This window comes from Homo sapiens, chromosome 19 (genome assembly GCF_000001405.40).
Source record: "Homo sapiens chromosome 19, GRCh38.p14 Primary Assembly".
Lineage (NCBI taxonomy): Eukaryota > Metazoa > Chordata > Mammalia > Primates > Hominidae > Homo > Homo sapiens.
This window is the reverse complement of record NC_000019.10, coordinates 52,194,010-52,216,499: the sequence shown is the minus strand read 5'-3', so window position 1 is coordinate 52,216,499 and position 22,490 is coordinate 52,194,010. Positions and strand designations below refer to the sequence as shown.

At 48.2% G+C, this 22,490-nt stretch overlaps 1 protein-coding gene across 3 annotated transcripts in view; it reads right to left on the bottom strand.

Moving 5' to 3' along the window:
- Positions 1-22,490, bottom strand: part of PPP2R1A (protein phosphatase 2 scaffold subunit Aalpha) — a 39,467-nt gene that overhangs the window by 13,019 nt on the left and 3,958 nt on the right. The window contains exons 1-8 of one of the 3 annotated variants that reach the window (NM_001363656.2): positions 14,806-15,304; positions 14,466-14,556; positions 10,437-10,537; positions 5,008-5,240; positions 3,667-3,814; positions 3,390-3,545; positions 607-721; positions 426-496 (exon numbers count right to left, since the gene is read on the bottom strand). In NM_001363656.2, the coding sequence (NP_001350585.1) occupies positions 426-496; positions 607-721; positions 3,390-3,545; positions 3,667-3,780 (456 nt within the window). In that variant the 5' untranslated portion in view covers positions 3,781-3,814; positions 5,008-5,240; positions 10,437-10,537; positions 14,466-14,556; positions 14,806-15,304. Of the gene's footprint in view, positions 1-425; positions 497-606; positions 722-3,389; positions 3,546-3,666; positions 3,815-5,007; positions 5,241-10,436; positions 10,538-14,465; positions 14,557-14,805; positions 15,305-22,490 lie in introns of those variants that run through there. The other 2 variants (NM_014225.6, NR_033500.2) reach the window with 2 other exon arrangements.

Below are 22,490 nucleotides of genomic sequence, written 5' to 3'. Positions count from 1 at the left end.
TCAGTGCAACCCCTGCAGCAGCAAGTGGCTAAGCAGATGCCAACTCCTAAGAGACAATAACCTGCTTCTGCCCCTCTCATTCATAGAGCAGGGGATGGCTTAGGGTACAGGGGAAATCACTATTCCTTATGAGTACCACCTACTTAAGAGTTCAATGACCCCTGCTCTCAGCAGCCCCCACTCCAACCCCAAAACCCTGTGAATGACAGGACTCAGTGACATCTGAGGTTCTAGAAAGTACTTCCACCTTTAAGGTCAGCCTCAAGCTGCAGTCAGGACCCCTAACTGCTTGAAACCCAAGAGCTGCCTGGTCCCAGAGGGCTGGGAACCTAGTTTGCAGCTGACTATCCCCAAAGCCTTGTCTCCAGCCCCTCTTTTTGGCAGGCTCGGATCCACTTGGTTCCTCCCATCAAACTCTCTGTTACCTTGATGCAGGGCAAGATCTGGGACATGATCACATTCTCCCGACAGTCAGCTGAGAGGTTTTCACAGAACTCTGTGGGCAGGGAGAGGGAGGCAAAGGGAAGTGAGACCTGATGTGCTAGTTCCACCTCCAGCCCCTTGGATACCCACCCCACTTGCTGTGTTCCGGCTGCCAGCACCAACCTTTGACCTTGTGGGAGGCTGCGGCCCTCACCTCGGCCTCACAGTCTTTCATCAGGTTCTGGAAGGCAGGGACCAGGTCTGTCTTGGTGATCTCAGGCCCCACTGCTTTCTGGAGCTGCAGACAGGAAGGAGGAGGGGGAGAGTGAGAGGGGCTGGCAGTTTACTCTGGGCTAAGGAAGCCAAAATCAAAGTGAAGGCACCAGAATTAGGGGACAGAGCGTGGGCCTTGGAAGCAGTGCTAAAATCTAATTCGAGTGCCAAGACTGGCCCCGGGGCAAGGCTCTTCACCTCGCTGAGCCTCTTTTGCTTCCAAAGAAAAATGAGGACTGCGAGGGCACCTACCTCACGGTGTTGTCAGCATTAAAAATAACACATTTCCATATTATTCAGGCTACTGAGGTTAAGTTTTCTGTTACCTGATTCAAAAACATTCAAATGATATAGTGACTGCAACTTTTTGATTTATATATGGCTGTATTTCTTAAAGATCTGTTACCAGAAGCACGAATTACTTTTGTAATGAAAATAAAACAATAGGCCAAGTGCGATGGCTCATGCCTATAATCCCAGCACTTTGGGAAGCTGAGGTGGACAGATCGCTTGAGTCCCAGAGAACAAGACCAGCCCGGGCAACACAGTGAAACCCTGACTCTACAAAAAAAACAAAACAATTAGCCGGGTGTGGGGGCAGGCACCTATCGTCCTAGCTACTCAGAAGGCTGAAGTGGGAGGATCACCTGAGCCCAGGAGGTCAAGGCTGCAGTGAGCCGTGACTGTGCCACTGCACTCCAGCCTGGGTGATGGTGTGAGACCCTGTCTCAAAATAAAAATAAAACAATAAAGATTGACAGAAAGGAAGGCACTCTAGGGCTGGGCGTAGTGGCTTACACCTGTAATCCCAGCGCTTTGGGAGACAGAGGTGGGTGGATCACTTGAGGCCAGGAATTCGAGACCAGCCTGGCCAACATGGTGAAACCCCATCTCTACTAAAAATACAAAATTAGCTGGGTGTGGTGGTGCACACCTGTAATTCCAGCTACTCAGGAGGCTAAGGCACGAGAATCACTTGAGTCTGGGAGGTGGAGGTTGCAGTCAGCTGAGCTTGTGCCACCGTACTCCAGCCTGGGCAAAAGACTGAGACTCTGTCTTAAAAAAAAAAAAAAAGGGAGGCACGCTTGGCCCTGCCTGTTTCATGGCACCAGGCATGGAAAGACGCACGGCTCCTGCTGCAAAGCTGGTTCCTGAAGACCTGGTAGGAAGCAGGACAGTTCATTATGAAGACGGGAATGAACAAGTAAAAATCTTGAAGGACCTCATGATATCTTGGGAAAATACTGCCTTTTATTCATCTTGCAAATATTTACTGAATGTCTACTATGTGCCAAGAACTGGTTTAACAGCCTAAAATTCCTGCCCTCATGGAATTTTTATTCTAAGACCCAGTGTGACACAGTTTATGCAGCTCAGGAGACAAGGATGGGAAGAACCTTCCCTAACTGTGGTGATGGTACGCTATTCTGAAGCTCTGAGTCCTTCCCGCAAATGCCAGTGGGAACCAGCATAATTAAAGGCAAAGGGCGCCTCAGGGTGGAGTGGCACTCAAGGCCTCTCTGATCCCACCCTGCCCTCTCTCCGATCCCACCCTGCCCTCTCTCCTGCTTTCTCTCAGGCTGGGCCATCAAGATCAGGCCTGAATGTTCCTGCTTGCACTTGCTCTCACCTCCCAGGGTTCTTTGTCCTCTGGCTGGAACAAAGTTCCTATCTTAGCTCTTACCCACTCATCTTCTAGAACCAGCTGTAACACCACCTCCCCTCCTCAATGCTTCCAAGGCCCCACATCTGTCTGTCTGTCCCACACCTGTGACACTTTATAATCAAATTTCCCCTAAGTCAGTCTTCCCCTTCAGACTGCCTAGCTCCATGAAGGCCAGGAATGATCCGAATTCACTGGCCCAGCAAATAGCTGGTGCTCAGCAAACATGTTTGTGGGATGAGGCAATCTGGATCCCTGTGGAAGGAGCACTGTCCTGAGAGTCACAGACCTGGAGTCTTGTCCCCTTTCTGCCTGGCTGGTAGTGTCACTCTGATCAGTTAATTAAACTTTCCGGGGCTGGGCGCGGTGGCTAACACCTGTAATCCCAGCACTTTGGGAGATGAAGGCAGGCGGATCGCTTGAGGTCAGGAGTTCGAGACTAGCCTGGCTAACAACATGGTGAAACCCCGTCTCTAATAAAAATACAAAAACTAGCCGGGTGTCGTGGTGGGCATCTGTAATCCCAGTCCCTCAGGAGGCTGAGGCAGGAGAAATGCCTGCACCCGGGAGGGACAGGCTGCAGTGAGCCAAGATTGCGCCACCACACTCCAGCTGGGTAACAAGACTCTAGCCTGGGCGACAGACTCCATCTTAAAAAAAAAAAAAAAAAAAAAAAAAAAAAACACCAAAAAACCCCACCTTTTTGGGCTGTCTTCCCCTTTGTGAAAGGACAGCTTGATTATGTCAGGAACACCCCACATGTGCTACCCTTCTCTGCTCCTGTGGCACTTTCCTCCACGTAGCCTTAACTTTGCCTCAGAATCTTTCTCAAGGCAGCACTTTAAGATGCCATGTCAATCAACCAGGATTGGCACACGAAGCGAGACGCAGTTAGATGATCATAGAGATCTTATTGCTCAAACGCCCAATGGTTCCATCGGCCTAATGGAAACCTCAGCTCCTATATGCTTCCCTTCTGAGAGTGTCAGTGTCCCCACCAGTGGGACAATGTCAACGGTCGCTCATCTACCTCTGTGAACTTGTCAGCCACCATGTAGCGGACGCGCCAGGACTTGTCTTCAGCGGCCTGGCGCAGAGTGGGCATCACCAGGGCCTCCAGATCCTCCTGGGGCAGAAGCTGGGCGATGTTCACGCACGCCTCCACCGCCAGCAGCCGCACCGAGTCCTAGGGAGAGGAGAGGAACAGTGGGAGGGCAGCAGAGGCCTTGCTGAGCTCTGGGATTCTCTTTCATGGGCAGGAACCACCAGAAGGACGGGAGAGCAGAGGGCCAGGAAGCAAAACTCACCTGCTCGTCAGAGGCCAGGTTGGAGAACATGGGGATGATCTCACTCTTGACGTTGTCCAGCTCCAGCACCTTGGCAAACTCCCCCAGCTTGGAGGCTGCGGCCCGCCGCACCATGGGGGTGTCATCTGAGCACAGGTTCCGGAAGTACCTGGGAGTCGGGGACGGGGATCCTGAGGCAGCAGGCAGTATGGCAGAGAGGAGCAAGCACAGACTCTGCAGTTGTGTGGGTCCAGGTTTTAGCTGAATGACCTTGGGCAAGTGATGACCCCCTCTCTGTCTTCCCAGCCCTATGAAACGGAGCTGATAGTAACAGTACCTACCCCACAGGTCCGCATGAGGTTTAAATGAAAATAGTGTGTGTGAGACACTTCGCAGATTGCGCATAATAAATCTAGTCAATGCTAAGTGCTGACGATTACATCATTCCCATAAAAATTGCTTAACCAACGAGCCAGGCACAGTGGCTCATACCTGTAATCTGAACACTTTGGAAGACCAAGGCAGGAGGATTGCTTGAGCCCAGGAGTTCAAGACCAGCCTGAGCAACATAGTGAGACCCCATCTCTGCCAAAAATAAAAAATGAGCCCAGCGTGGTGTTGCACACCTGTGGTCCCAGCTATTTGAGAGGCTAAGGCAGGAGGAATGCTTGAGCCCAGGAGGTTGAGGCTGCAGTGGGCTATGACTGCACCAGTGCACTTCAGCCTGGATGACAGAGCGAGATCCTATCTCAAAAAACAAACAAACAAAAAACTGCTTAACTAAGAGGCAGGTCTAGAGCCACAGAAAGGCTTTATTTTTCAGCAGCAATTGCTTCGATCAAAGGCGGTGGGGGCCAGTGTAAGTATCTAAGCAAGTGTACAGCCATAAACCAGAGTTCTGGAGTGAGTCAGGCTCAAACCCGGGCTTGACGGTCAATCGTTTGCAAAGTAGACGAGCAGGAGGCTGAAAACTGAGGTGGTTTATCTGCCAAAGGCACTGGACCTGGGACAGGCTGGAGATACCATCAGATGTAAGTTGCTGAAAGTTTTTATGTTCCAGATTTTGCTCTAAGCACTTTATGTGTGATAATTCTTTTAAATCCTCACATTAACCAGTGGGAAGGAGGACCTGTCATCATCTCAATTCCTAAGTGAGCAAGGGGGCAGAGGTGGGTAAACTGACACGTGGCCGTGTCCAGAGACCAACTCTCGAGGATGTGGCCTATCAGGTGGTAAGCAGGAGTGGGAGTGGAGAGAGTTCAGGGGCATTTGGGCCCCAGCTAGACCAAAAGGAGTCTGAGGCTTTAGAGAAGGTTGGAGCTGAGATGGGAGCTTGGAGCTTCCAAGGAGGCAGAGACTCACTGTCGAAGTTCCGCCTTCACAGCACTGGACACTCGGGGGTAGCAGACGGAGAAGAGGCCGCAGGCCGAGGTGCGGGAGGTGAACCAGTCGCCGCCCGCCAGCCGCTTCACTAGCGGCACAAAGTGCGCCTCCAGGTCAGAGGGCGAGTGCTCGTGTGAGATGGCCCGTAAGGACTCCACTGCCTTGTCCCGCACCACTGTCTCCTCCACTGTGGCCAGCGACTCCAGCGGTGGCTGTGGTGAGAACACAAAGTCACTGGACAGCTCCCTCTCCACCATCCGCAGCCCTGGAGCCCCATCCTGCACCCCATCATGGGCTCATCTCCTCAGAGAAAACTTCCCTATTACCCATCCCGACCTTCATTAAAATAGCCTTTAAAAATGGTTGCAATGAATGACTCAAAGGAAAAACGTAATATTATGCCAGCCAGCAGAAGGTCTCTGTCAGCGTGCCTTCCACAAAGGTTCTTATTTAGGGGTCCTTGAAGGAGTTTCACTGGGGTCCATAAACCTTAAAATTACACACGTTGCTTTCTGAGGAGAAAGTTCTTAGCCTCTCAAAGTGCAATGATCATCACTGACACTGTGTAGAACATCTACTCACTGTGTGTACTAGGCAGGACCTCCGTGTTGTACCAGGGGTGCTTGTTCTTCCTCACTGAATTCTATAAAGCAAGTCCTGATTTTAAAGAAGAGAAAACGGGCCGGGCGCAGTGGCTCACGCCTGTAATCCCAGCACTATGGGAGGCTGAAGCGGGTGGATCACGAGGTCAGGAGTTCAAGACCAGCCTGGCCAATATGGTGAAACCCCGTTTCTACTAAAAATACAAAAAAATTAGCTGGGTGTGGTGGTGCGCACCTGTAATCCCAGCTACTCGGGAGGCTGAGGCAGAAGAATCCTTGAACCCGGGAGGCAGAGGCTGCAGTAAGCCGAGATCGCACCACTGCACTCCAGCCTGGGCAACACAGCGAGACTCCGTCTCAAAAAGAAAAAAAAAAAAAAAAAAAAGAAGAGAAAACTGAGGTACAGCCTGGCTTGCCCAAGCTAGTAATAGCTACAGGTCAGGATCGAAAACCTGACCTAAGCTTCCCATGAACAGTTACACACAGCTCTGGTGACTGAATTGGGATCTCATGTTTCTGGGGGACTATGGGGCTCGGGACTGCTCGCTGGTTGTTACTGTGGGCCTAGAATGACTGTGCTCCTTCAGATACATACGACTGGCTCTCCACTGTATCCCCAGAGCCCAGCAGCACTCTTAGCACAAGACAGGAACTCTTAATTAGTGACCTACTGAAGGGAGACTCAACTTATCCCAATATGTTCAAATAAAGGTGTGGAGGTCTCTGATCTGAAATTCAACTTGGGCTGACAGGTATTTAAAGCAGGAAAAAAAAAATCATAAATGGAAATGCCTCCAGGGCTCAGTCAAGTAACAGAATGATGCCATCAGCCAAGGTGACAGGCAGGGGTGGCAGGAGGCATGAATAGGAAGAGGCAGGCACTGTGGCACCCTGGAGGGCATGTAGCCCAGGGAGGGCAGGTGCTCCCCAGCTCCAAGGACTGTCACTATGGGAGAATGCAGCTGGCAATAAGCAAATCTGGTTTTCCAAATGCAGCCCTCAAAAAAACTCAAGAATCTTGTATGTGAGAAGTCTCATGTAACACATGCTACAACATGGATGAACCTTGAAGATGTTATGCCAAGGGAAATTAGCTAATAGTCATAAAGACAAATATTTTCTGATTCCACTTATATGAGGAATCTAGAACAGTCAAACTCCTACGGTGGCTGCCAGGGGCTGGGGGAGAGGGAAGGGGGAGCTCATGTCCAATGGGTTTGGAATTTCAGTTTGAGGAGGTGAAAAATTCTGGAGATGGAGGGTGATAATGGCTGCACAATGTGAATAAACCTACCGCCACAGAGCTACACACTTTAAAATAATTAAAATAGCACATTCTATGTATATTTTTACAGTAAAACTAAGAATAAAAACAAATGTTTAAAAATAGCATTTAAAAATAGTTGCAATGAATGATTCAAAGGAAAAATGTAATACTAAGCAAGCCAGCATAATGTCACTGTCACAGGTCCTCATGCTATCGTGACGTCTCAAGTTCAGGACAGTATCATGGGAGTGTGACCATAGGTGCGGTGTGACTGGGATACTGCAGGGACAGAGTTCCTCTTGTTCACCTCAGTTCTCCCACCACCTGGGCTGGCACAGAGAAGGTACTCAATCAACACTTGCCAAGTGACTACCGGTGGAACTTACGGCAATCTGTTATAAGGAGGCCTGGGACAGAGGCTGAGCAGTAATTATGTAAGCCAAGGTTCTCTTCTCCTGTAGGTTACTGCAGGAAGTAGTTCTCAAAGGATGATCCCTGACCACCCTGCAGCAGAATCACCCGGAGGCCTATCCCAGCATGGACCAAAACAATCAGAATATCTGGAGGCAGGGCCCAGGAAGGTACACATTTAAGAAACTGCAATTGATGCCTTTGCACAGTGAAGACTCACTACTGTGAAGCCTCTCTGTGAAGTCTGGGGGCAAGGGTTCTCAAACCTGGAGACCACACAGGGTAGGGAAGAGTGTGAACCGCCTAAAATCCTGTGTACTTTTATAAGAAGAGGGTCCAGAATTTAACAGATTCTCAAAGGGATCCATAATTCCAAAAGAGTTAGGAACTGCTGGCCGGATGCGGTGGCTCACGCCTGTAATCCCAGAACTTTGGGAGGCCAAGGCAGGTGATCATTTGAGGCCAGGAGTTCTAGACCAGCCTGGCCAACATGGTGAAACCCTGTCTCTACAAAAAATACAAAAATTAGCCAGGCATGGTGATGGGTGCCTGTAATCCCAGCTACTTGGGAGGCTGAGGCTTGAGAATCACTTGAACCCGGGAGGCAGAGGCTGCAGTGAGCTGAGATTACAACACTGCACTCCAGCCTGGGTGACAGAGCGAGACTCTGTCTCAAAGAAAAATAAAAATAAAAAGAGCTGCTGACACAGAAACAACCCTCACACCCAGGCACGGTGGCTCACACCTGTAATCCTAGCACTTTGGGAGGCCGGGGTGGGTGGATCACCTGAGGTCAGGATTCCGAGACTAATCTGACCAACAAAGTGAAACCCCGTCTCTACTAAAAATGCAAAAATTAGCTGGGTGCGGTGGCACACGCCTGTAATCTCAGCTACTCGTGAGGCTGAGGCAGGAGAATCACCTGAACCTGGGAGGCAGAGGTTGCAGTGAGCCGAGATCCCGCCACTGCACTCCAGCCTGTGCAGCAAGAGTGAAACTCCATCTCGGGAAAAAAACAAAACAAACAAAAAAACAATCCTTACACTGCAGCTACAGGAGTCTCTGTAATTAATTCCATTTCACCACTGCTGAGAGCAAGGGCCGGGAGTGGGTCTGACACATCTCTGGGTTTCCATAGCCTAGAGACCTTGCTCAATGTTTGTGGAATGAAGAAACTACACAAAGCCATTTTCTATTTCTTATAACCTGTCAAAATCCAGGTTAACAGCCACCTCCTCCAGGAAGCCTTCCCTGACAACTTCCCATCCCACCTAAGCAGGTTAGGCGCCTTCCCTGGGTTTAAGGACCCCCCTGCCTCCCTTGTTTACAGCTCTGAAAGCAACCAGGAGCCCTCTGAGGATAGCACATAGGAGTGGCTAAGAATTAGGGGCCTGGGATCGAATCTGGACTCTGCCTCTTCCCAGCTCGGACAATTCACTTAAATCTGCCTGTGCCTCAGTTTCCTCATCTGGGCAATACAGCTAACATCAGTATACAACTGTGTAAGGCTCTTGGGATGTGCACTGCAGGCAACGAGCAAGCACAAGCTATTCTGATCTAACTCTTCTCTGGTTTCCAGCACTGCCTGGCCCAGACAGCCCCAGGATGTGTCTGCTGGCTGACATGAACGTCAGGCACATCGGTCACAGGGAACTGCTTCCCAAAAGGAAGCGTGGCTTGACTGGGACTTTCCTCACTGAGAATGTTCTGTTGGGAGACCCTGGCCAGGTAGGAGAAGGATCCCTGGGTCCCAGCCCAGCTCCACAGCAAGCCTGAGTCCCAACCTCAGTTGCAGACCCTGGGGGCCCTTGTTGAAGCCTTGCGGTTTCATAAAAATAATGTCTTCTGCTCCTAAGTCCTCTGAGAAGCTACTGAAAGCTATGAATTCACTGCTCAGAAGTTCCACCTGACAAATACCAGGCAGGGGCTACAGATAATTTTGTGAAATTCAAGGAACCCCTTCTAGGCTGGCCCCCAAACCTCATCATGCTCATGTTAAGCCCTGTTTTGTGTAAAATGTATGAAACGATCTATTTGTATACAATTTTCTGTGTGTCCATACGCACAAATTATACACATATGCCCAGATGAAGGCTGAGATATCCGAATTTAATGGTAACTATCAAGTTTCTTTACATAATGCTATTTGGGAAGAAACAAATTGTTATATTTACTCAAATCCCAAGATCCCAACAATGATAAGCACCATTCTTTATACACCACTAGAGCTAGGAGAAAGGCTGCTGCTAACTAATACACCATCAACTGCCGGTGCCACATTGTATCTCTAGCGACAGTGAAATACACAATCACTGGGGGAGTGGGGCAGAGGCAGAGGCAGCAGCAGTGGCCCAGCACTCTGAGAACAGTGAAAACCAGGGGACTAGGTAACCTGTACGGTCTGCCTTCCCAGATCATCTTCTCTCAAACAACGCTGCTTGTTGGGATCTGGCCCATCTTTGTGTCCTTGGCCATCACCTAGCACGGGACACACAGGCAGGCAGTGGGGTGGGGACCTGGCAGACAGTCAAATGGACAGACCAAGAATCCCAGCTCTGCCATCTACTAGTCATACAATCTGAAGAGACGCTTAACCTCTCAGTGCTCCAGGTGGCTCACCCATAAACAGGGAATCCCTCCTACCCCAAAGGCTGGATATGATGTCACAGCAACAATAATGACAATTGCAGTTAACATCGGTTAGTACCTACTAAGTGCCAAGTACTGTGCTAGGGCTCTTCAAGGTAATTTAAAAAGGTTTTCATAACCCCATTGTGCAGATGAGAAAGGTACAGCACAGAGAGGGTAAGTAATTCTCTTACAAGTCACACAGCAAATAAGCAGTAGAACCCAACCTGACTCTAAACCCACAGCCCTATGTAGAATCCCAGGTAAGGCCTGGCACTGGGCACCTACCTGACCACTAAACAGAAAGGATGATAACTGCACCCTGAGTTCACGATATTAAAAGCCACTCCTGACTTGTTGGATTAAAGCGGATGTCCATGGCCCGGCTGTTCTGACGTGATCCCCACGCTCTCTGACACGCTCCCCTCCCTGCCCTAGGCCGGCAGGACCATGGGCCGACCCTAAGGGGTGGGCAAGAGGACTTCCTGCCTTCCACTCACCAGCAGGCAGTGCACGTACTCTGGGCCTCCCACCAGGGTAGTGAAGGTTCCCAGCTGTTCTGCCAGGGCCAGGAGGACCTCATCTTCATCATAGATGGTATCTGTGGAACCAAGACAGACTTCGTGACTATCCCATCTCAACTCTGACCCCAGCCCAAGCTCAGAACACATGGACTCCATTCTGCTTCCTCAGGCTGTCAGCACTCAGTTCTTCCATCCGCCCACTTGCTCCCCCACTCTCCACCTGGGCTGCCACAGATATTAAGGTACAGGCTTGGCTGGGATAAGAGAGCCCTAAGTCCTGCTTCTGCCCTCTAGCGGGTGTGAAATACTGACTGAGTGATTCCACCTCTCTGAGTCCCAGCTTCTGCGTCTGTAAAATGGTGTTCACCATCCCTCCCTCGTAGCAACGGTTACAGTGAGGAGCAAATATGACTAGGTGTATAAAGCGCAGAGCATGGTCAACGAGAGCTTTTTTGGGGTCCAGCTTCTCCCCTCAGCACTGTTCCCTCTGCCAGAAATTTATTTTTATCCTTGGAGATTCAGTTTAGCCGCCCCTTCTTGGAAGATTTCTAGGATGTCCGCTACACCTTCTCTGGGCTCAGTCTCTCTCTCCTTCCATGCCACCTTTACCACATCCTTAACATAGGCTATAATCAGCGAGCCCAGGACTGGCTCCTCTCTGTGCCCCAGTTCCTGCCAGAGCTGAGCACAGACAGACAGCAATTCAGGTTTGCTGAAAGAATGAATATGTGAAGGGAAAATCCGTTCTGTCCCTAATGCCCACATCCAAAGGCCTCTCTCTTAAGCTCCATCCTCTCATCCCTGAGGCAGTGGGAACTGCTGATCTCTGCACAGCACAAGCTGCTAATATCCCTGGCATCTATTGGCACTTAAACCTCCTGCATTTAAGTTGGGTGTATGGCAATCCAGCAGCCGACTGCATTTCCCAGACGCCCTTGCAGTTGGCAAGGCCACGTAACCTTGCTCTGGCCAAAGGGGTGTGAGTGTAAGTGGTGGGTTCAACTTCTGCATCACCTCCTTACCACAACCCTCTCATTTAAGGAGTCATTATCATCATCTCCATTTTATGGTAGGTTCAAATCTTGCTTTACTGTTGGCTGCTTATACAGCAGCTCACTTCATCTCTCTGAGCCTTTGTCATCCCCTAAATCACCACAGGGCTGTTCTCACTTCATAGGGTTGTTCGGAGACTAAAGGGAAATAAATGCTTTCATTGAAGAGCTCAGCACAGGGCCCAGTAGGAGGGTTAGTATCTCTGCCTCTTCCTTCAATAAATAAATTCTCGCCAATGTGACTCCAGCTACACTGTTCTTAGGCTCGTTCCCAGCCTCAGTTTCCCTGGCTCCCTCTGCACACAGTTAAAACCACCCTCCCTGTTTTCTTTGTCTCCTGAAGACCTTATGCGTATCCACGGACTCAATTCTTATTCATCTTTATCTCCAGTCTAGACCTTATAGCCAAGCAATGCTGCTGAAGGCCAAACACCTGGGAACTGCCAGCACCTTGTCTTTCCACCAATCCACAGAGAACTATCCTTCTTGGAAGGGTTGGCAGCTCCTTCTGAGCCAAGCCTGTCAACCCTCCCAAACTAAGGTCACTCTGATCATCACTAGCTGTCGCCTGGGAGACTGCAACAGCTTCTTACCTGGTTTTCCTGCTTCCACCTTTGCCCCTACACCATCTGATCTCCCAGACCCCAGAGTGACTCTTTCAGGTGTAAAAGAAATCCCGACACTCTTTCATTTCAATCTGCCAATAGTTTCAAAGAAACCTGATCTCACATACTGTGGTCACTGTTCTTCTCCAACCTCATGTCCTAGTCTCACTCTCCCTTAACAATCTTGCTCAACCCATGGCTACCTCACTGCTATTCTTCCAACACACTGAGCTTACATCTGCCTCTCCCCACAGCCTGAAATGCTCTTCCCACAGAGTTCCACATGGCTGGTGCCTCCGTTCCACTCAGGACCCTCTGCCATTAAGCTTCCATAAAAACCCAGAGGGTTCAGAGAGCTTCCAGATGGTGAAACACATAGAGGTTCTTGAGGGTGGTGGGCTCAGGGAGGGCACGGAAGCTCCAGGCCCTTTCCCCCACACCTCATTCTCTGTATCTCTTCATCTGTATCCTTTGCAAAATCCTTTATAATAAACCAGTAAACATAAGTGTTTCCCTGAGTTCTATGAGCCTAATCAAACCCAAAGAGGGGGTCGTGGGAATCCCAACTTGAAGCTGATCAATCAGAAGTTCCACAGGACCAGCGACTGGTGGTCAGGGCTGGGGACAGTCCTGGGGACTGAGCTATCAATCTGTGGGATCTGAACCTGTCTCTGGGCAGACGTGTCAGAACTGAATTAGAGGACAACCAGCTGCTGTCCACTGCTTAGTTTGGGGAAAAAAACCCAGACATATGGTCACAGAAGTCATGTTCTGTGTTATGATTGCTGTGGTGTGAAAGTAGAGGAAAGTCACAGAGTTTTCCCTACACACCCCGAGTGTTAGGTACTCCTCTTATTAGACTCCTTTACAGACAAGGGAAATGAGGCTAAGAGAGGTGGAGTGACCTACTCAGGTTTTCCTAGCAAGTCAGTGGCAGAGCTGCTTATTGCAAACCCAGGTCCAACATTTTTCCTCTACAACTTCTTCACCACTTTATTATCCTGCCATGCTTCAGCATTCTAAAGCTTTCAAGTCTCCCCAACAGTTCACCAATAGAAGCCACCTGGTTTGGGGCCATTTGTTCAGTGTCATACGAGCAGACACCTACTCTTCATGCACCATCCAGTCAGACACACCTGCACCCCTCAGTCACTAGCTGTGCCACTGTAGGCGAGTCACTGCACCTCTTTAGGCTCCAATACCCCATCTGTCCAGTGTGGGGAGGGGTAACAATCTCAAGCTCCTTCCTCCCCAGGATCATCACTAGGTCCAAGTAAGATGTTCCCATACACAAGAGTTTAGTGACAAAGCACTCTGAACCTTCAGCTGTGATTTCAGCTGGTAATAAGTATAAAATATGAAGTAGTAATGGGAATAATGATAACAGAGAATTTACTATTAATTGTGGTCCAGTCTGTGTCAGACAGTGTATTAAATGCTTTACCTACATCCTCACAAACAGCAGTGCTTAGTAACAGCCTGGCAGCTATCGCTTAGGCGGCACGTACTATACAGTGTTATAAGCACTTTACAGTATCTTATTTAGTCTTCATGTTAGGTTACATAATTATGCCCATTTCACCTGTGAAGAATCTGAAGCAGGCAGATGTAAAATATCTTGCCCAAAGTCACACACCTAGAAAGTGGTAGAGCTCAGATTTGAAATCAGTCATTAACCAATGCTGTCAAGTTAAAGGCCAGAATGACTAGATAAATATCCCTTCTCAGTTACCTCCTCACTGCATGACCTTGGGCAAATGAATCACTTCACCTCTCTACACCTTGGTTTCTTCATCTATAACATGGGGACAGCAGTATTACCTGCTTAAAGCACTGCTGTGAGATCAACTGGGTGAAATGATAGTGATGTATGTTTACTGAGTACAGGCAGCTTTCTAAACACTTTATATGAACTCAATCCTCACAAGATACGGTGTAGAACACCACCTGGCATACAGTAAGCATATCATAAGTATTAGCAATTGTTATTAACATTGAATGCTCAGATCAACACTTTGGCACATGGATGATTATCCCAATCTACAGATGAAAAATATAAGAAACAGGTAAACTAACTTGTCTAAAGTCACCAGCTTCCAACTGTTGGAGCTGCAACTCAAACCTCGTTCTACCTGCTTCTAGATCCCTTTCACCATCTGTCTCCATCATTCCAGACCATTCTTTTAGAGCAAGACTGCACTTCTCTGAATCCCTTTTCCCACTCCATAGTGTCTAACACAGGGCAGATATTCACAAACAATATGTTAAATCCACAAGTCTTCTCTTATATAGTGAAAACCACCTCCCAAGAGTCCCCACATCTGGGCCCCAGGGGTCCCCTTTGTTACCTGTAAGGAAAGGCAGAAGCTCACTTCGGGTCCTTTCAACCCCAAGGGCCAAGGCGATGGTGGACAGCTTCTTGATGCTGTTGAGGCGAAGCTAATGAGAGAACAAGAAGAGGAGGGGAGAATGTTAGAAATCCCAGACACGCGTGAGTTCTGACAGCTCTCAACCCAGTCAGCCCCTGGAAGCCTTGCTTGGTTACATGTGAAGATGCTCAAGAGTAATTTGGCAAACACCCACCAAGAGACCCTGTGACCTCGAGGGAATCATTAAATAACAACAATAGTAGTGGCAGCAGCAACAAATGCAAAAGCATCCCTTGGGTCTTATGAAGGTGACACCTACTCAGTTGCACTTTCCAGGACCACTCTGTTGAAAACTGTACTCCCTCTCCTCCTCTCTCTTCATCACTTTCTCCTATACACAGTATCATGTAACATGCCAATGCACTGTACTTTAACAGCAGCAGCCACGTTTATAACACGCTTCCTCTGTGCCCGGTCCTCGGCTAAACACATCCACACACCTGCACCCATGTCACTAGCTGGAGTCCCATTTTACAGACAGGGAAACAGGCTCGGGGAACAAAAGCCCCTCTCAGGGTCAGACAGCTAAGATCACATGGAGCAGGATTTAAAGCCAGGATTGCTGGCTAAGTGATTGTAAAAGAACAAACAACACTCCAGCCTGGGCAACAGAGTGAGACTCTTTGTCTCAAAGAGAAAAAAAAATTATTGTAATAAAATGACTACAAAAACAAGAGTAGCATTAGCAGTAGTAATAATACCACCAGTACAGGAGGCTGAATAGCAGCCTCAAAAAGTTATGTCCCAGTGACGTGCACGTCAAAACAGTCTTTGCAGGCGTAGTTAAGTGTGTCCAGATAATATCATCCTAAACGGAGGGTTAGCCTTGAATCCAGTGACGTGCACGTCAAAACGGTCTTTGCAGACGTAGTTAAGTGTGTCCAGATAATATCATCCTAAACGGAGGGTTAGCCTTGAATCCAGTGACGTGCACATCAAAACAGTCTTTGCAGACGTAGTTAAGTGTGTCCAGATAATATCACCCTAAACGGAGGGTTAGCCTTGAATCCAGTGACGTGCACGTCAAAACAGTCTTTGCAGACGTAGTTAAGTGTGTCCAGATAATATCATCCTAAACGGAGGGTTAGCCTTGAATCCAGTGACAGTGTCCTTCTAAGAGACAGAAAGGAAGACAGATACAGAGGGGAAGGCACGCATGTGAAGATGGGTGGAGAGACCAGGAGATGCATCCACAAGCCCAGGAACACAAGGAATTGCTGGAGCCACCAGAAGTCCTAACTTCCAGAGAGGCATGGAATGGGTCTCCCTCAGAGCCTCCAAAAGGAACCAACCCTGCCGAGACCTTGATTTCAGACTTCCGGCCTCCAGAACTGTGAGAGAATAAATTCGTTGTGTTAAGCTACCCAGTTCATGGTGATTTGCTGTGGCAGTCCTAGAGAACTATTATATTTGGCTAACACACATAATAGATCTCACAACAAGCATTTACATGTTGGGACCTCATTTGATCCTCCAGATCCTAAAAGAAAAGCATGGCTAATATCCTCTTTTCACCACTTTGGAAAGTGACGATCAGAGAGGTAAAGACACCTACCAAAGCAAGCACCGAGGGAGTGTGGGATCCAAAGCCAGCTGCTCTGATGGCAGGACAGACTGTGAAACTCTCCCCTCATTTCTTCATCACCACGAGGCCTCTCCTATTATTAATAGCTCCCAGCACTGTCACAAGAATGGAATGAGCTCATGAGTGTGAGAGTGGGAGGAAATGCTTTCATGAGGGGGAGAGTGACTAATGGTCCCACGGGGGACCTTTCTTCCTGGATAGAGGCAGAACAGGTAGGGACAGGGCGAGGTTGAGGAGCAGGAGCTCCCTTAGCCTGTTCTGTTCTGAGGCCCTACATAACTGAGACGAGGTCTACAAGTGACTAAGATCTTGCGTGAGTTGGGTTCTCCGGTCCAGGAGTTGAAGAATATCTCTGCGATCACAGACGATGAGCATCTGATGAAGTGTTGTGATGGTCTCTCCTCAGAAAAATGCACACAGTAAATCTTTCATACAGGTAGTCCAAAAACTCACCATTCTGGCATTAAACGGACCTCAGGATAAAGTACTACAAAACCTGCAACTGATTTTCAGCTAAAAAATAAAACGTATATAGAGACAGACCTATAGAAAGATAAAAAACTAATATAGCAAACACTAACAATCACTGACCTGGGGTGTAAGTATAGAGGTGCTCACTGCACTATGCTAGAAGTCAGCAAAACTTATTCTATACATTGCCAGACAGTAATTATTTTCAGCTTTGCAAACCTAACTACTGAACTCTGCTTGCGTGGCACTGAAAACAACCATAGAACCAGAACTAGAGAAGCAAACAGGCATAGCTGTGTTCCAATAACTTTACTTGCAAAAGCAGACAGTGGGCTGAATTGGACCCATGGACTGTAGTCTGCTGACCCTTGTGTTAGTCTTCCAAAGTTATGCATGTCTGAAAACTTTCATAATAAAATACTGTGGGGAGGCCAGGCGCAGTGGCTCATGCCTGTAATCCCAGCACCTTGGGAGGCCGAGGCAGGCGGATCATGAGGTTAGGAGATCGAGACCATCCTGGCTAACACGGTGAAACCCCGTCTCTACCATAAATACAAAAAGAAATTAGCCGGGCGTGGTGGCGGGCGCCTATAGTCCCAGCTACTCGGGAGGCTGAGGCAGGAGAATGGCGTGAACCTGGGAGGTGGAGCTTGCAGTGAGCCGAGATGGTGCCACTGCACTCCAGCCTGGGTGACAGAGTGAGACTCTGTCTCAAATAAATAAATAAATAAAATAAAATAACATAAAATACTGTGGGGAGTATTGACCTAGTTGCCTATTTCTTTCCTCTTTGTTTTCTCCAAGTTGATCTGTGTGTTCTTCTCTCAGCCTGAGCTATGGGGAAATATACACATGGGCTAGGGCCATACTAGGTGAGCAACAGCCCTGAGGACAATGAGATGGTACAGGGAATAATTACAATTAATAATCATAATCATAAATGCCAGAACAATAGCAACAAACATTTATTGTTTGCTACGTGCTTGGCAGCAATCCAAGTGATTGACATGGATGATTAACACACTGAATCCTCATAACTGCTCTGAGGTATGTATTGTTAGCAGCGTCCCCACTTCACTGATGCACAGAGGCGAGTGAGGACACTGATGCACAGAGGTGAGGCTGTCACTTACTGGAAAGCAATGAAGCCAGGCAGCCTGACTCAATTTCAATATCATACTGTCATTTAGGCAAAAATGTTTGTATCATGAAGCTTCCATAAAAACCAAAGAGGAAAGGATTCAGAGAGCTTCCTGATAGCAGAACATGCACATTCTTGGAGGGTGGCATCCCCAGGGATGGCACGAAAGCTCCCCGCCCCTTCCTCCATAGCTCACCCTATGCACCTCTTCATCTGTATCCTTTGGAATATCCTTTATAATAAACCGGTAAACCTAAGTGTTTCCTGGAGTTCTGTGAGCCGCTCCAGCAAATTAATCAAACCCAAAGAGGGGGTCGTGGGAACCCCAACTTGAAGCTGGGGATGCCCAAGAGGTGGGCCCATGACAATCAGGCTGCTTTCCCATCCAGAGAGCTCCCTTCCTTCCACTGCTGTTCTTTGGGATTCTGCTTTTGGTTTCATTAAAAGTGTTTCTTCAGGCAGACAGCATCATCAATGCTTGAGAAAGATGGCCTAGGGTGGTACTACAGAGCTGCACTGTCCAGGTTCAAGGCTAAACTGCTTACATATTAGCTGTGGAATCTTGGGCAATCCTTGTACCTTTCTGAGCCTCAATTTTCTCATCTGTGAAGTGGGGATGATGAGAATACCTACCCTCAGAGGGTTGTCTTGAGTACAAAATGACATTCTACAGGGACACCCTAGCACCAGGGGAAGATTAATAATGGCAGCCGTGGCAACCACGCCTCACTGACAGCATCCTGATTTTGTTCAGATTATTAAGAAGGACATCGTGGCAGCTGGTCCACTGATGTTTCTTTTCCCTTTTTTCACCATGACAGAATAATAACAGTAAATATTTCCTTAGTCTCTACTATGCCCCAGGCTTTAATGTTTTAATTCATTTGACCCTCACAATCCCATGAGGGAAATACAGAATCCCCCGTCTTGAGGCAGAGAACACAAAGGCACAGGGAGCTTAACTGCATACAGCTTACTGGTAGTAAAGCCAGGATTTGAATCCCAGCCACCAGGTTCTTAACCAGTACTATGGATTCATATTTGCTCTGTTTTTTCTTTTTTGTTGTGCTTGTTGTTGTTTTGAGGCAGGGTCTCACTCTGTTACCCAGGCTGGAGTGCAGTGGCACAATCGTAGCTCACTGTAGCCTTGACCTCCCGGGCTCAAGTGATTCTCCCGCCTCAGCTACCCAAGTAGACGGGTCTACAGGCAGGTGTCACCAAGCCCAGCTAGTTTTTTAACTTTTTGTAGGGATGAGGCCTCACTATGTTGCCCAAGCTGCCCTCAAACTCCTGAGCTCAAGCAATCCTCCCACCTCGACCTCCCAAAATGCTAGGATTATAGGCATGAGCCACTGCACCCGGCTTTTTTTGGTTTTTCTCTTGTAGAGGGGTGGGGTGGTGCCATGAATCCCCTTAGCAGGTCTAATAATGAACGCAATTTTGAAAGAGGTGAACATAAACAACACTAGAAGATATGTATAATAGCAGAAATGACATGTGAACACAACTCCTGATTTCCACTGGTAAGTCACAGGTTTTGCTAACGCTACCTATGATATACTATAGTGATATTATAATCTATAACAGAAGGGAAGTTAAATGTAAGTTAAAGGTTAATGAAAATAAAGATGTTATTTTTGCCATCCAAATTCATGGACCTGCCTGGGAATTGCAGATGATCCCCAAGTTAGGAGCTCCTGCATGGGGCTATACTGCTGTTCATAATCCTTGGTTTTCAGCTGTACACATGACCCCTGGAAAAGACATTTCTGAATTGCCTTTGCATCTGAATGTGACTATAAAACTAACATCTGGCCAATAAAATCCAAGTGGAAATGTTTTGTGCAACTTATAGGGATGGGGGTCACACTTATCTTCCCTCCTTCCTGTCTGGAATGGAGCTATAATGGTTGGGGCTTCGGCAGCCAACTTGGGGACCTGAGGTAACCTGGGGGACACGGAGGGTAGAATGGAGGATACAACCAGCGCATAATGGTAAGAGCCTGGGACCCTGACACCATGAAGTGCCACAGCAGCCTGGATTGCCACCAGACATTTTGGTCATCAGTCAGATAGAAACTTCAAGCTCATTTAAGCCCCTGTTATTTAGAGTTTTTCTACTACTTACAGCCAAACTTAACTTCAACTAACTCTGCATATGACCTAGTTCTTGGCAAAGAGATATACAAGCAAGTCTGCTGAGGAGATTCAGGAGAGATTTTCCTCCTTCATAAAAGGGAGGAGGGAAAGAACCTCTGTGTCCTAAGCTGGCCTCTGCTAAACTGCACTAAAAAGTGCAGTTCCACTAGGACAGCAGATGCTGCTGGAATCTTATAACCAAAACAGGCCAGTCAAAAAAACCGCATTTCTGTGATATCTTTGAGCTGACCCAATTCTGTGATAGCTTTGAGCTGCTGAACTTGCTATATGAGAAATAAAGAGAACTCTTACTTGTTTAAACAACTCTAGGTTGGGGTCTCCGTCACATTCCTGATAGAAAATCTATTAATATCATTTCAGAAACCTTGACTGGCCATTGATCATGTCATATCCTGAGAATTCCCTGTGCACTGACTATCTCCCAAGTGTGTCCCCACCAAGCACCTGCTACAGTTGTGATACTGTGAGATACAGATTTGGGCTTCATCCCCATTTCCTTGCATACAACTCCTCAAATCTTTGGAATCTCCAAGGCGCTTTTTGTATGCTAATGTTGACTGATACCTTCAGGATGGGGTCCATGGTCACTGGAAAGATAGTCATGGAAAACAGAGAGGCATGATTAGAGGGTTGGGATTTTCAGTCCCACCCCACAACCTCCAGGGATCGGAGAGGGGCTGAAGGTCAAGGTGATCACCAGGTTTAATCAATCCTGCCTACCTAACAATGCCTTTATAAAAACCCAAAAGGACAGGGCCTGGGAACTTCAACATAGCCGAACACACAGAGGTTCCTGGAGGGTGGTGCACCCAAGAAGGGCATGGAAGCTCCACACCCCTTCCCCCATAGCTCACCCTATGCCTCTCTTCATCTGTATTCTTTATACTATCCTTTATAATGAACTGATAAACTTACATGTTTCCCTGAGTTCTGAGAGCTGCTCTAGCATATTAATCAAACCCAAAGGCAGGGTGGTCATGGGAACTCCAACTTGAAGCAGGTAGATCAGAAGTTCTGACGACCCAGAATGGCAACTGAAGGCGAGGGCCAAGGGGCAGTTTTGAGGCCTGAGCCCTCAACCTGTTGGATCCAACACTGTCTCCAGGTCGTGTCTGAACTGAATTGGAGGACATCCAGTTGGCGTGTGCTGCAGAACTGAATGCTTGCTTAGTGGTGGTGAAGAATCCCTCCCCACCCCAACACACATTTAGTCACGGAAGTCTTCTTCTGTGTTGTTGATTGTTGTGTTAAGTGAGAGAATAGGAATTGGGATTTTCCAAAGAGTCCACCCATATGGTTCCATGACAGCACTTACCACCCTAGACTGGGACTCTCTGTGTCCCAGCAGGCCTCGGCACAGAGCCTGCTCTGTGGTGAGTTAATAAATAAAATCCGCCTTCCCACTATATGCACCTGTGGAAAGGGGACCCACTTTTGAAGATCCACCCTGCATTCAACCCATGGAGCCTTCCATAATATGAATGTATATGGTATAATCCCACATGTAGTATGTTTTCCCTGCACATTCAGAATAAAAGCTAAGGCCTTACTCTGGCCTACAAGGCCCAACACAATCTGACCCTAGTCTACTGATCCATTCTCACTGGGCCTGGCTTGTCACAACTGCTTCCTTGATAGTAACCAAAAAAACAAACAGCCCAGTGTATTCCCAACCCAGGCTTTAGCACTTGCTGACTTGGTCCCACACGGTTCCCCAGATGCCCCATTTCCTCAGGTCTGCTCAATCCCCACCATATGACTACCGCAGAACAATGAGCAAGCCAATTTCACTGCATCTTCACAACCAGGCACACGCTGATTCTTCATCATTATCCCCATTTTGCAGATGAGGAATCTGGGTCCAAAGAGGGGAAAGTACTGCTCCAGGGGCACACAGAGAGCACAACTGGCAGAGCGGGGGTTCAAACTTCAGTCACCCTCAACTCTTCCCTCTACATTACCCACCAGCAAATCCCATCAGCCCCCCTCAACATGTCCTGACTGTAACCATACTTCCCCCCTGCATGCTAACACTGGTCCTGGGTGCTTTGTAATGGCACCTCAACAGGGCCCAACCCCTATGACAGCCAGAGGAAGGATCCTTTAAAATTATACCAGAACCCATAATTACTACTGAAAGCCTTGCAATTCCTCCTCCTCCCTCCCATCTTCAAGGCCTTCACCTTGGCCCACAGGCCTCACTTGATCTAGTCCTGGTCTAGTCCTCACCTCCCACCACTTTGCCATTCTCTCTGCCTCAGTCACACTGGCCTTTTTGCTGTGCTTTGAACGCATCAAGCATCCTCCCACTCCTGGCCTTTGTACCAACTATTCCCTCTGCCCAGACTGCTCTTCCACGACCTGTTCATTTCATTCAAATCCTTGTTCAACATCACTTCCTCAGAGCAGCTTTCTCTAACCTCCCTATCTAACAAAGCAGCCCCAGGTGCTTGCTCTATTCCCTGTACCTGTCTTATTTTGTTCTTTTTTTTTTTTTTTTTTTTTTTTGGAGACAGGGTCTTGCTGTCGCCCAGGCTCTCACCGCAGCCTCGATCTCCCTGGTTCAAGCAATCCTCCGACCTCAGTC